Here is a 14,556-nt window from a genome sequence, read left to right as displayed (position 1 = left end):
CACCTCATCCAGCAGGTGAACCACTAGCTGCTGCTGTTGGCCACCCAGGCAGTTTTCCTTCAGCATGGCGCACCTAATTCCTTAGACTCTAGGTCACACACACCTGGATTTGACTCTCAGCTCCTCCGTTTTTCAGTTGTAAGACCTGGGCAGTTATATTTATTTGAAGCTCCTTGTAGTCATTCATAAACAGATAATGCTAGGACCATATCGCAGGGTTGTTATGAGAATCAGCCTATAAAATGCTTAGCACAGTGCCTGGTACATAAGAAGTGCTCAATAAATGTTAGCCAAGCCAATGCCACTGCAGTGCCATTGAAGTTGTGTGAGTCAGATGACCATCTGCCTTTATTGTCTGGGAAGTGAATTTAATTTCTTCTGTGAAGTGGGACACAGTACCATAGTAGCTCTGTGAGTAGCTGTGATTCAAACCTGAGTTTAGAGGGAAACACTTATTTCACCCACAGCCACCTCTTTTGCTTATTCCCATGCTAACCCATCAGGCAAGATAGTAATACAAGCCTACTTCTTAAAAAGTTCACAAATGAGTGATAACCAGTACAAGCAAATAATTACACTAGGCACTTTTCGAGAATTATTGGGTAGTTTAATAGTCACCTGACTGCCACTCAGAATCTGTCTGATGTTCAGTTCATGCATCAGATTAAAATGAGAGTGCTCAGTAGACATGTTACCTATTAGAAATCATAGTATGTGGGCCGTAATATTTTAGTTCCATGCCTAAATACCTGCATGACTCAGAATCTAAGTCATGGATCTTAGATCCATGCCTTACTTAGTTCAACCCTTCTCCCATTAGCAGTTGTAGAGGGTTGATTTCACAGTTGCTCATTTGGTTATTATTTCTGTGCCTTCAGTCAAAACCACCGAAGGACAATATTCATGATCCCATTTAGAGAGAAAAATGGAGAGAGTGTGTGTGTGCGTGCATGTTGTGTATGCACGCATGTGGATACGAGCAAGGATGCTCACCAGAATGTGGTGATTATCTTACTTTAGAATCTGGGGCAACGTCTTCTTCAATTTGTGCTTTTATGTGTTGTGTTTTTTTTTTTTAACAGTAAGCATGAATTACTTAATCTTTTTAAAGGCAGTTTTTATTGTGGCAGATGATAGGAAAGATAATAGTACTCTTACCCAATGTCTTTTTCTCAAAAATATCAATGAAAAATTCCTACTGATTTTATTCCAGAGAAAAGTTTATTTTAGCAAACAAATTTGTAATTATTCGTTATTAATGAATTTTTCAACATCTATTTTATTTCTGTTTTTGCCTTTATCTACCAATAAACTTACAACCAAAATAAGATTTTTTTTTTTTTCACCTTAATTGCCCTGGCTTAATTTTCTGGGTAACCTCATCCATTTGTAAGATAGTCATATATAAATAGATTTCATCTCTTGGCATTTTAATGACTGTCCAAAAATTGATACTAAACTCCACCTCTATGCATATACCTACTAGAATAGTTTACCTTTCTGGCAGTGTTACTAGTCACTGTTCTTGTATATTACTGTTCAAGCAAGTCCTTGACCCTGTCTACTCACTGTTGAAACCCTGTGGGCAAGATGTCAGGGCAGTGTGTGGGACCCAGGTGGTCTAGGGCCCCCTGTCATGGGTGGGTTGCTAACTACACAAGGAGGATCCCCACAAGGGGTGCAAGCCCCCATCCCTTCCTCACCACGCTCGGTGCATTGACCAAGGGCTTCGTGCTGTTGGCTTCAATCAGAAGTCCATCAAAAAGCCCTTGTGTTTGGAGTCACTGCCCTTCTGTTATGATGAAATACTGTTTATTTAGTACTGCGACTGATTATACATTAAATTTTTTTAACACTGCAAACAGATCTGGTAAATTTTGAAACTTTGCAAATATAAACAGGATGGTAGTCAAAGAAGTGAATAAATGCAAGGTAAATATATTTACATATTGGCTTCTCACACCTCGGTTTCTTAGTACCTAGGTAAGCGAGGTTACTGAATTTCAATTCCCAAAAGAGGTCTTCTGCTCTACTTGGCTATTCATATAAACCTTGTGAAATGTCAACATTTACCAACTGAAATTTGTGTCACTCTAGTTTTCCCTCAAAATAAGAAAAATAAATATTTTTATTATTTTTATTTGAGGAACATATACAAATGTGTAGTAGAGATTTGAAGTTTAGTGGGAGGCGTGACTAGGTATCCCCTAGAGCCCTTTTCCCATTGCTGGATTCTGATTCATAGAAATCACGTTCTAAGATTTGCAGAGAACGGTAGCTCATTATTCAAGATTCAAAAAAATCTTGGCATGAGGAAATGAATCTGAAGTGGTAAAGGTGACGAAATAACTAGAGCAAATGATCCAGTGGCATGACCGGAGATCAGGAAGCCCTGGCTTCTTGTAGCAGGTCCACCAGAAAGCTCCCGGTGATCTTCCTCCTCTTAGTGTAGTAGTAGAAATTTATATATATAAACTCCTTTATTTATACAAAAAGAATGATGTTTCTATTTTACTCTCAGTATTTCTGAATTATTTTGCTCAGTACTCTTTTTTTTTTTTTGAGACGGAGTCTCGCTCTGTTACCCAGACTGGAGTACAGTGGCGCCATCTCAGCTCACCACAACCTCCACCTCCCGGGTTCAAGAAATTATCTGCCTCAGTCTTCTGAGTAGCTGGGATTACAGGCACCCGCCACCACGCCCAGCTAATTTTTTTGTATTTTTAGTAGAGATGGGGTTTCACTGTCTTGGCCAGGCTGGTCTTGAACTCCTGACCTTGTGATCCACCTGTCTCGGCCTCCCAAAGTGCTGGGATTACAGGCTTGAGTGCTCAGTACTCTTTTTAAGAGGAATATTGAGAAACTAGCACACTCAGCATAAAAGGGTCTGAAAATTTAATTATTTGATGTCTTGGGGATGCTTGGTTTGGAAGAGAGGGGACCGGGTAAGATGAGAGCTGTTTCCAGGTGTTTGAAGGACTCTTAAAGATGAGAATAACAAAGATGAGAATAACTACTGTTTATTGAATGCCTACCAAGATCTTAGTCCTGCACTGGTCTCTTTTACCCGTATTGCCTGGTTTAATACTCAAAAGAGCCTCATGTTGACTAACCAGTGCATACAGAGTGATGCTTACTCTGTATTTCTGGAGCTCTGGCGATATCTACAGGGAGGCAGATTTCCACTTGATATAAGAAAGAACTTTGTGGCCTGGCGTGGTAGCTAACACCTATAATCCCAGCGCTTTGGGAGGCTGAGGTGGGCAGATCACCTGAGGTCAGGAGTTCAAGACAAGCCTAGCCAACACGGTGAAGCCCCATCTCTACTAAAAATATGAAAATTAGCTGGGTGTGGTGGCAGGTACCTGTAATCCCAGCTAAGGCTGAGACAGGAGAATCACTTGAACCTGGGAGGCGAAGGTTGCAGTGAGCCGAGATCGCCCCATTGCACTCCAGCCTGGGTGACCAGAGTGAAACTCTGTCTCAAAAAAAAAGAAAGAAACAACTTTGTAGTAGTTAAAATTGTCCGTCCAAAACACGGGACACTTTGAAAGCTAGCGAGCCTGCACCAGGACCTGATTCTTCAGACAGAAGCTACAGGATAGACCTGTTCACAGGCCGACCTCAGATCAGGTAGAAGGCTCTGAGATGCGTCCTGTGCTGAGGGTCCCTCTTGAATTGTTCCTAGGAGGGATCAGAGGCCGAGGAGAGCTGTTGGGTTCTCTTTCAGTTACCTCTTTTAGAACCTTAAATATCAAAAGCAGTGTTTTTCAGACTTTCTAAAAACCATCTTCCTACTGTAAGAGATACATTTTGTGTTGTGACCCAGTACTCCCATGTGTAACTGAAACAAATTTCACACACTTCCCTGACTGCATGCAGTATTCTCTGATGTAGTCAGTCCTGTGCCTTGTTGTTAATATTAGTCGTTAACTCCTAAATTGATGGTATAACCATTAATAGGTTGTATGCTTTAGTTTTGAGAAACACTTGTCTAAAGAATTTTGAATTTGGCCGGGCGCGGTGGCTCACGCCTATAATCCCAGCACTTTGGGAGACCGAGGCGGGCGGATCACGAGGTCAGGAGATCGAGACCATCCCGGCTAAAACAGTGAAACCCCGTCTCTACTAAAAATACAAAAAATTAGCCGGGCGTAGTGGCGGGCGCCTGTAGTCCCAGCTACTTGGGAGGCTGAGGCAGGAGAATGGCGTGAACCCGGGAGGCGGAGCTTGCAGTGAGCCGAGATCCCGCCACTGCACTCCAGCCTGGGCGACAGAGCGAGACTCCGTCTCAAAAAAAAAAAAAAGAATTTTGAATTTTTAGTTCTCAACCTGATAACCTTTTGCTCACACAGCCCGTCTTGTAACAATTCCAGAAAAGATTTAAAATTAACCTCTGTTTGAGGTGTATTGCTGGATAGTGGATCCTTTTCTTTCTCTTGGTATTTATTCTCCTTGTAGCCAATCTGAGTGTGAGATATATGTACACAAAAGAATAAAGTAGGGCTTCGAGGGATTGAGTGACTCTGAAGGGATGCCATAGGAAGAAGGCCACTGGAATTCAAACCCAGCACCTCTGGTTCCAACCTTTTCCTTTAAACTGCTTGCATTTGACTACTTCAGAGAGGAGGATAGTGCCAAATAATGTGGTTGAAGGAGACAAATTTGGTTTCCTAAAAATGCAGTTGCAACATGAGTATTAAAGGCAGTGGGAACTTGCACTTCTCTGCTCTCTTTGGCAGTGGTTATTATTTTGCTTTATTTTATTTATTTATTTGAGACAGGGTCTCGCTCTCTCACCCAGGCTGGAGTACAGTGGTGGGATCTCGGCTCACTGCAACTTCTGCCTCCCAGGTTCAAGCAGTTCTTCTGTCTCAGCTTCCCGAGTAGCTGGGACTAGAGGCGCCTGCCAGCACCCCTGGCTAATTTTTGCATTTTTAGTAGAGATGGGGTTTTGCCATGTGGGCCAGGCTGGTCTCAAACTCCTGACCTCAGGTGATCCACCCACCTCAGCCTCCCAAAGTGCTGGGATTACAGGCGTGAGCCACCAGGCCCAGCCTATAATTTCTTTAAGAGGCAACAAGATAAAGTAGATTTGAAAACTAAATTACCCCTAAAAATTCTTTATATCTAATATCCAGTTTTTCTGAGGAAATATTAGAAAATGTGTTACCTTAAATAGGAACTACAAGAAATAATAAGGTACAGAACTTTATGTGAAGTTGTGAATATCCTTTATACCAGAGGTTTTTCAAAAAAGTTGACAACGCCCCCTCATTCATTGAGATGCTGTTTCCCAAGTAGGCTCCCGGGCTTGTGCCAAGCACGGGGCTCGCAGTGCTGAAGGTAATGGAGACCTGGTCTGGCCCCGCCAGAGCTCAGGGCTATGCCCTCATGTGCGTACTGATGTGGCTGGAGAGTGAGGGAGTACGCAAAGGCCCTTCTGGGTCATGCCTGCGGAGCTGCCGCCTTACCTTTGGGGGAGCTGAAAAGGCTGCATGGAAGAGTGACTTAGGAACCAGCCTGGGCATAATTAGGGCACACAGTGAGGACCGCACAGAGCAGGATCAGCGAGTTGTGTGGTTTGGTGTGTCTGCTGTAGGTGGTGGTGACGGTAGGCAGGAGACAGATTTTGGACTTGATTCTTATAAAGAGCTGGTAATGGGCTCTAAGGCCTTTCAGCAGAGAGATATTCCTAGTGGCTGCGAAGTTGCTTGCTGTGGTAGGGCATGAAGGCAGGAAGATAGATTAGGTAAAAATAGGGAGTTGAAGGAGCAAGTCAGGGTGGCGAGCAGGAGCTGAAATCAGGAGTTGCTAGAGAGTTGTGTAATAACCAAAGCTTATATGGTTTGAAGCAGAGATCTGGAGCTCAGCAGAAAGAAAAAGATCAACGCTAACAGCTTGATTTGGGGACCCTGGAAATGAGCAGGAATCCAAGGCATCAGAAAGCCAGGACAGCCCCACAGCACAGGGCTGCAGAGAGGGCAGCAGGAGCTCGGGCAGCGCAGGGGCTTGTCAAAAGGTCATAGGCTGTTTTTACACCTGATGCAAGGACAGAAACACACACAAGGTCTGGAGGATTCCTGTGAGACAGCCATACATCCCTATCACTTCAAAATAAGTGAGGACATTCTTGTTTGAGAGGTAAGAGGAGCATTTTTTAAAGACAACAGCGGCAGATTTCAGCACCCTCAGCATTCAGAACATGTGTTTAAACCAGGAAAAATTGTAAATTGTATGATAATTGTCCCTGTGTATTTAAACAACACGCCATGGGCCTGACCTTTTCCTTCATCCTTTTGGGAGTATTAAAGCACCTCTAAGATGGATGAGTCAGTCAACTGCAGATCTGAAACTGCTGATTTTGGGAAAACACTTAATGGCTTCCTGGCCTTACCAGAGGGGTTGGGAACTAGCTGGGGACAGCCAGGCCACCCTTCAGTTAGGGTCACTTCTCTGTTATTTTAAACATTTGACTACTCTTTAATTTATGACCTCTTTTTTCCTTTTATTCCATAGGGTAGAATGGTTTTGAAGAAGAAAAAACCTGCTTTCTGACTGATTTTGCCTTGAAGGAAAAAAGAACCTATTTTTGTGCATCATTTACCAATCATGCCACACAAGCATTTATTTTTAGTACATTTTATTTTTTCATAAAATTGCTAATGCCAAAGCTTTGTATTAAAAGAAATAAATAATAAAATAAAAAGTCTGTGCTGTTGAGTCTTATTAACCAGACCTGTGTTTTGAGGGCTGATTTGAAGCTCGCAGACCCAGATTGCATTTGTTTGTGTTTCAGAGACAGAATGTGCTCCTGGCTCCCGTGAGAGGAACAGGGATTGACACTTACTATTGGTGTCTTCACATTGGCTCCTACCCACATAGGGCGCAAGAGCGGGGACATCCTGCTGGTGATGCCGCTTAGGATGGTCAGTTGATTTACTCATTCTTCAAGGGGGACATTCACTCTGTGATAATTTCTTCTCTGTGGTTGATCAGCCTCCACCAGAGCTGCAGCACCCCCAGCAGCAGGGACTTGTAACATTTGCTCCCCACTGTGCCCCTGCACCCAACAGAGTGCTTTGCACATCGTAAGTGCTCAATAAATATTTGTGGAATGAAGGAATGAGTGTCAAAATGATTTTCCAAACCACATCTAATTAGTAATAAATTATTACCTACTTTGTATTCTTGTAAAAACAGCAAACTCAAAAAAGTAGGTGAGAGCGATTTTACATGTGCCGGTGAAATACTTTTGCTTTACTGATGAGGAGAATTTCAAAATACTTTGTTACATCGAATTATATGCTTGAAGGATTTTCAGTATTTGTAAATGTTTGCAGCAGTGAATTCTTAATCTTCTACCTCAGCTTACCTGAGGAGTGAGAACGTATTCCTATTGAAAACGGGTTCACTCCAGTAGTCATGCTCAAATCAGCAGGGGGCTGAAAGGATTTTTGCAATCAAAATGTAATTCACATGCTATAAAATTACCCGTTTAAAGTGTGTATTTCAGTAGTTCTTAGTATAGTCACACAGTTGTGCAACCATCACCACTATCAGATTCCAGAACATTTTCATCACCCCGTAAAAAACCTCATACTCAGTAACTTCTCACCCTTGCCAGCCCTGGAAACCTGGAAATCTACTCATTGTTTCTATGGATTTGCCTGTTCTGGGCATTTCATGTAAATAGAACCATATAATATGTGGCCTTTTGTGTCTGGCGTCTTTGACTTAGCATGTGTTCACGGTTCATACATGTTGTAGCATGTGTCAGAACTTCTTTGTGTGGTTAACACTCCATAGTATAGATGTACCACATTTTGTTCTGCTGATGGACGCTTGACTTGTTTCCGCTGTTCGGCTGTTATGAATGTTGCTGTGAACATTCATGTACAAATTTTGGCCTGAACATATATTTTCAGTTCTCTTTGATATGTCCCTAGGAGTGCAGTTGCTGGATTATGTTATAACTCTATGTTTAACTTCTTGAGAAGCTGCCAAAATGTTCTTCAAAGCAACTGCACCATTTTGCATTCTCACCAAGAGAGTATGCGGGTTGCAATTTCTTCACAACCTCCATAACACCAGTGACTGCCTGTCTTTTTTCTTATAGATGTCATAGTGGGTGTGAAGGAGTTGTCTCATGTTTTTAACATGCATTACCCTAGTGACTGAAGATGCAAAGCATCTTTTCATGTGCTTTTTGGCCATTTTCTATTTTCTTTGGAGAAATGTCTATCCCGGTGCTTTACCCATTTTTAAATTGGACTGTTTTTTGTTGTAAGAGTTCTTTGTATGTTCTAGATACTAGGCCTTTATCAGATAGGTCATTTGCAAATATTTTCTCACATTCTCTAAACTATTTATTCACTTTCTTGGTAGTGTCTTTCAAAGCACAAAGTTTTAAATTTAGATGAAGTTGAATATGTTTATTTTTCCTTTGGTTGATTGTACTTTAGATGTCTAAGAATGTATTACCTAATTTAAGGTCACAGAGACTTCTAAGAACAATATAGTCTTTGCTCTTAACTTTTAGATCTTTGATGATCCATTTTGAGTTAATGTTTGTATACGGTGTAAGGTAGGGGTGTTACCTTCATTCTTTTGCATGTGGATATTCAGTTTTCCCAGTGCCATTTGTTTAAGAGACTTTTTTCCTCCATTAAATGGTCTTGGCACCCTTGTCAAAAATCAATTGAGAATGACATATGAGTTTATGTCTGGACTCTGAATTCTTCCATTGGTTTCATAGTAAGTTTTGAAATTGGGAAGTGTGAGTTCTCAAACTTTGTTCTTTTCCAGGTTTGTTTTCTTTATTCAGGGTCCCTTGCATGAATTTTAGAATCAACTTCTCAATCTCTGTAAAAAAAAAAAAAAGCTAGGATTTTATAGGGATTGCACTGCATATGTAGATCATTTTAGTTAGCATTGCTGTCTCAACAATATTGTCTTCCAACTCATGAGCATGGGATATCGTTCCACATGTTTAATTTCTGTAGAACTATGATTAATTTTTCTACATTGATCTTTTATCCTACAACATTGCTGAACTCATTTATTCTCATATTTTTTTGTGGATTCCTTGGGCTTTTCTGTCTACAAGATCATGTCATCTGTACATAGAGATCATTTTTCTTCTTCCTTTCCAATCTGGATGCTTATTTATTTTATCCTCATGCTTAATTGTTCTGGCTAGAACCTCAAATAGTAGATTGTTGAATAGAAATGGTGCAAACAGACATCCATGTGTTGTTGTGATCTCGTAGGGAAAACCTTTCCATCTGTCACCACTGATGATGAAGTTAGCTATTAAGACTATAGACTAGATACCTTTATCAAGTTGAGAAAGTTACCTTCTATTTCTAGCTTATTGAACGTTTTTATCATGAAATAGTTTTTGATTCTGTCGGAAGCTTTGTGTCTATTGGGATGATCATGTGAGTTTGCCCTTTATTCTATTCTATCCTATGAATGTGGTGCATTACATTGATTTTCTTACATTGAACCAATTGTGGGACAAATCCCACTTGGTCATAATGTACAATCCTTTTTATATTTGCTGGATTTAGTTTGTTAGTATTTTGCTGAGGATTTTTGCATCTATATTTATAAGGGATATTGATATGTAATTAATTCTTATCATGTCCTTATCTGACCTTGGTATTATTGTAATGCTGGCATCATATAAACAATTATGAAGTGTTCTTTCCTCTTCTGTTTTTTGGAAAATCTTAAGAAGAATTGTGTTAATTCTTTAGATATTTGGAAGCCATCTGGTCCTGGACTTTTCTTTGTAGGAAGTTTTTTGATTACCAACTCATTATCTCCTCACTTAGAGGCCTATTCAGGTTTTTTATTTATAGTTGAGACAGTTTGAGTCATTTGTATCTTTCTAGGAATTTATCCTTTTTTGTTTTATTGATTTTTCTCTCTTCTATTCTCTATTTCATTAATTTTTACTCAAATCTTGTTTTTTTGTTTTGTTTTTGAGATGTCTCGCTCTGTCACCCAGGCTGGAGTGCAGTGGCACAATCTCAGCTCGCTGCAGCCTTGAACTCCCTGGCTCCAACAATCCTCCTACCTCAGCCTCCCAAAGTGGTAAGATTACAGGCTTGAGCCACCACACCTGGCCTTACTCAAATCTTTATTATTTTATTTCTTCTACTTGGTTTAGGTTTAGTTTTTTTGTTTTTTAAGGTGGAAGATGAGGTTATTGATTTGAGGTCTTTTTTATTTAATGTAGTTGTTTATAGCTATAAATTTCCCTCTGAGTCCTATTTCACTCATTTGTAAATTTTGATATTGTTGTGGCTTTTATTTCATATCTGGTTTCCCCCTGTTATTTCTTCTTTGGCCCATTGGTTATTTAGGAGTATGTTGTTTGAATCCTATGTGTTCATAAATTTCACAAATTTCCTTCTGTTGTAGATTTCCAATTTCATTCTAAATTCAGTTATTGGTTGGAGAACATACTTTGTATGATTTCAATCATAAATTTATTAAGGCTTCTCTTACGACCTAACATGGTCTATCCTGGAGAATGTTCCATGTGCACTTAAGAATGTACATATTCTGATCGAGACCATCCTGGCCAACACGGTGAAACCCCGTCTCTACTAAAAATACAAAAAATTAGCCGGGCGTGGTGGCGGGCGCCTGTAGTCCCAGCTACTCGGGAGGCTGAGGCAGGAGAATGGCGTGAACCCGGGAGGCGGAGTTTGCAATGAGCCGAGATCGCGCCACTGCACTCCAGCCTGGGCGACAAAGCGAGACTCCATCTCAAAAAAAAAAAACAAAAACCTATTCTGCTCTTGTTGGATGGACTGTTCTGTAGACGTGTGTTAGGTCTAGTTAATCGTGTTGCTCAAATCTTATCTTGTTTTTCTTCTCTGTAGTTCTAGAATTTGTTGGAAGTGAGTATTGTTATCTCTAGTATTGTTGAATTATGTTTCTCCCTTTTATTCTGTCTGTTTTGCTTCATGTAGTTTGGGGCTTTGTTGTTAGGTGCATACGGGGTTGAAGAATGTTTTAAAGCTGCACTGGTTATTCATACACCTCTATCCATTGAGATTCCCTGGTTCAGTGGCCCTCCTCTGAACCAACTCCAGCCAACTCACAATGCCAGAGTTCAGCCGAGCATGTTTGGCCTTATTTTCTAGAGTGGACTCTCTTGTATTGATAGCTTCCTCAGTAAAAAGTTTTTTCCTCTGGTGGTATTTCGTAGATTCATGGTATAGTTCCTCCCCACCTGGTTTCATCTCAGTGGAGATCAAAGCAATTCTTCCTTTTTCTTTCCTTCTCTCCTTATTTAACGGTGATTCATTATTTTCCTTCATCAGCAGTCATCAGAAGATGCTGAAGTACATCAGGAGGTGTAGGACTTTTAATGACAGTGTTACTCTTTCTACTAACTTAATGTGCTTTCTTTTCACATTATTTCAAGTCATAGTATTAAGACTTCAAAAAAATAGATGCTGTTCAAGGCCAGATAGAGAATTTTTGTTAAGAGCTAAGAAGCGAAATGAGTGAATTGATAGATTGGGACTTCCCATCAGTCTTAGGGAACATTTGTCATCTGCCTTTGAAATTTGAACCTGTTTGTGACTTTGAAATTTAACAGACATTATTAATTTTTCATAATTTAATCATGGTCTCAGTAACCATGAAGGTATATTTTGTGTGCACATGTGCATGCATTTGCACCTTAAACATGTATTTTTGTTCCTAAAACCAGAAATACGATTAGTATCAAAATGCAGTTATTTAGGCCGGGTGGGGTGGCTCACACCTGTAATCCCAACACTTTGGGAGGCTGAGGCAAGTGGATCAGTTGAGCCCAGGGATTTGATACCAGCCTGACCAACATGGCAAAACCCCATCTCTACTAAAAATACAAAAATTAGCCAGGCGTGGTGGCAGGTGCCTATAATTCCAGCTACTTGGGAGGCTGAGGCAGGAGAGTCTATTGCTTGAACCCTGGAGGTAGAGGTTGCAGTGAGCTGAGATCATGCCATTTCACTCCATCACCCAGGATGGAGTGAGACTCTATCTCAAGAAAAAAAAAAGTTATTTAATAAGCATGATGCTATCAACTGTCAACCTTAAATAATGAGATTCAGAAAATATCATTAAGTATAGAGTTTGCTCAAGCACAGAGCTGGAGGATGGCCACCCAGGAAAACAGCTTCAAACAAATGGGGTCAGTGTTCCACTCTGGAGAAGTTAAAGTATCATATAGGCAGAGACAGAAGTTTTAGCAAGATTATACCATTTTCCACGTGAGGCTAGTGAGTATGTTACAGTGATCCGATTGATTACAGATTGCTCCTTGAGGAGGGGTGGTGATCTGAGGGGTCTCATCTCTGGTCTTAATTATTTACAGCATTTCTGAAAGGCAGAAGTTGCAGCTGCGTGCCAAGCGACGCAGGCTGCAGAGCCACATTCCTCTGAAGTCTCAGGATAACTTAAAGTTACAACAGCTTTGAGTTATTTAATTTCACACAACTAAGAAGTCAGATTTACAAATAGAAGCAATGTATAAAGTTGAATAATTTTTGTTTACTATTTAAAAAATTCGAGATTAAAATTTAATCTGGTATTTCAGAGTTTTAAACCCTTCTTGGACAAACTTTTGTAATGCAAGAGACAGGTTGTTTTGTCTTTGTTTTTTCTTTCTTTTTTTTTTAAAGTATTTTTCTAGAGTATTTTCAGCCTGGGCAACATAGCAAGACCCCATCTCTACAAAAAAATTAAAAATTAGCTGGACATGGTGGCTTGTTCTTATAAGCCCTAGCTACTCAGGAGGCAGGAAGATTACTTGAGCCCAAGAGTTCAAGGATATAGTGAGCTATGGTTGCAACACTGCACTCCAGCCTGGGCATCACAGCAAGACCTTGTCTTAAAAAAAAAAAAAAATTGTCTGGGCACGGTGGCTCATGCCTGTAATCCCTGCAACTTTGGGAGGCCAAGGCAGGCAGATCACCTGAGGTCAGGAGTTCGAGATCAGCCTGGCCAACATGGCGAAACCCCATCTCTACTAAAATACAAAAATTAGCCGGGCGTGGTGGCACATGCCTGTAATCCCAGCTACTCAGGAGGCTGAGGCAGGAGAATCCCTTGAACCCGGGAGGCAGAGGTTGCAGTGAGCTGAGATGGTACCGTTGCATTCCAGCCTGGGTGACAGAGCGAGACTCCATCTCAAAAAAAAAAAAAAAAAAAAAATTATTCCAAGGAAGCATTGGCCAGGTTGGTCAGAAGTTGATAAGAACGTCACCTGAAGACCCTCCACGGGAAAGCAAGTGCCCCTGATTCTACCCAGCAGCTTAAGGCAGTCTTAGCCTGATAAGTCCATTAAATCACATTTCTCATTGGCTAGCTAGGTTGTCACTTTAGACTTTAAAAATAATTGGTAAAAGATCCTGAAGCTTCCTTGACTTTTTATCTTCCAAATTATTTAGTTATGCCAAGTTCCTTATCAAGACTCTTTTTTTCTCTCTCTCTCTTTTTTTGAGACAGAGTCTCGCTCTATCTATCATCCAGGCTGGAATGCAGTGGCGTGATCTCGGCTCACTGCGACCTCCACCTCCTGGGTTCAAGCAATTCTTCTGCCTCAGCCTCCTGAGTAGCTGGGATTACAGGCGCCTGCCACCATGCCTGGCTAATTTTTGTATTTTTAGTAGAGATGGGGGTTTCACCATGTTGGCTAGGCTTGTCTCAAACTCCTGACCTCAGGTGATCCGCTCGCCTCAGCCTCCCAAAGTGCTGGGATTACAGGCATGAGCCAATGCACCAGGCCAAGAGCAACAAACAGAACAAAGAATAGAGTCCCGGTGAAACAGAGACCACCATTCCAGGTCTGCCATGAAGCTGGGCAGGAAGAAACTGTTAACTGTTGCCAGGGGCTCCTGATCACTTAGGGTGTACCAGGTAGCATGCTGAGTTGTTCACATGTATAACCATTTTAATCTTCGCAATATCTGAATGAGAGAAGATATAGTTGGTTTTCTGTTTTACAAGTGAAGAAAACTGATGGTTCAAAAGGTTCAAGTTTCTTGCCCAAGTTCACTCACCTGCTAAGGGGCAAAGTCAGAATGAGACCCAGGCAGCCCAGAGTCAATGCTCCCAACTACTTTATACCCTCCAGCCTGGAGACAGTTAGACCAGGACCTACTATGTGCACAGCCTGCACCCTAGAGCAATTCAGAGTCTCAGGGTGAAAACGGGGGAAGTGAATGGAGGTAGCTATTTGAGGGCTGAGCTACACAAACACATACACACCCATATTCTTACATGCATATATGGTCTGTGTATATAGATATACTGTATGTATAATATATAATAGCATATTGTGTAGGTATATATATACCATATGCAGTATATATATGCTATATCAATGTATACCTACTATATACTTACATATACACACATATACTTTTGTTTGATAATAGTGTACAATAATAATAGCTAACACATACAGTGCTTAACTGCATGCTAGGTCCTCTTTGAAGCATTTTGCTGCATTAACTCATTAAATCCTTGCAACAACCCTCT

General features: G+C 40.9%; 1 protein-coding gene across 3 annotated transcripts in view; it reads left to right on the top strand.

Annotated features, from left to right (window-relative positions):
• RNF130 (ring finger protein 130) overlaps window positions 1-14,556 on the top strand; it is a 160,109-nt gene that overhangs the window by 109,571 nt on the left and 35,982 nt on the right. For 2 of the 3 annotated variants that reach the window (NM_001280801.2, NM_018434.6), the window contains one exon: window positions 6,520-7,122. The exons of the other annotated variant lie outside the window; for it this stretch is intronic. In NM_001280801.2, the coding sequence (NP_001267730.1) occupies window positions 6,520-6,524 (5 nt within the window). In that variant the 3' untranslated portion in view covers window positions 6,525-7,122. Of the gene's footprint in view, window positions 1-6,519; window positions 7,123-14,556 lie in introns of those variants that run through there. 3 annotated transcript variants of the gene reach the window in all.

Source organism: Homo sapiens, chromosome 5 (assembly GCF_000001405.40).
Source record: "Homo sapiens chromosome 5, GRCh38.p14 Primary Assembly".
In the NCBI taxonomy this organism is placed as follows: domain Eukaryota; kingdom Metazoa; phylum Chordata; class Mammalia; order Primates; family Hominidae; genus Homo; species Homo sapiens.
This window is presented reverse-complemented; position numbering and strand designations above follow the sequence as displayed.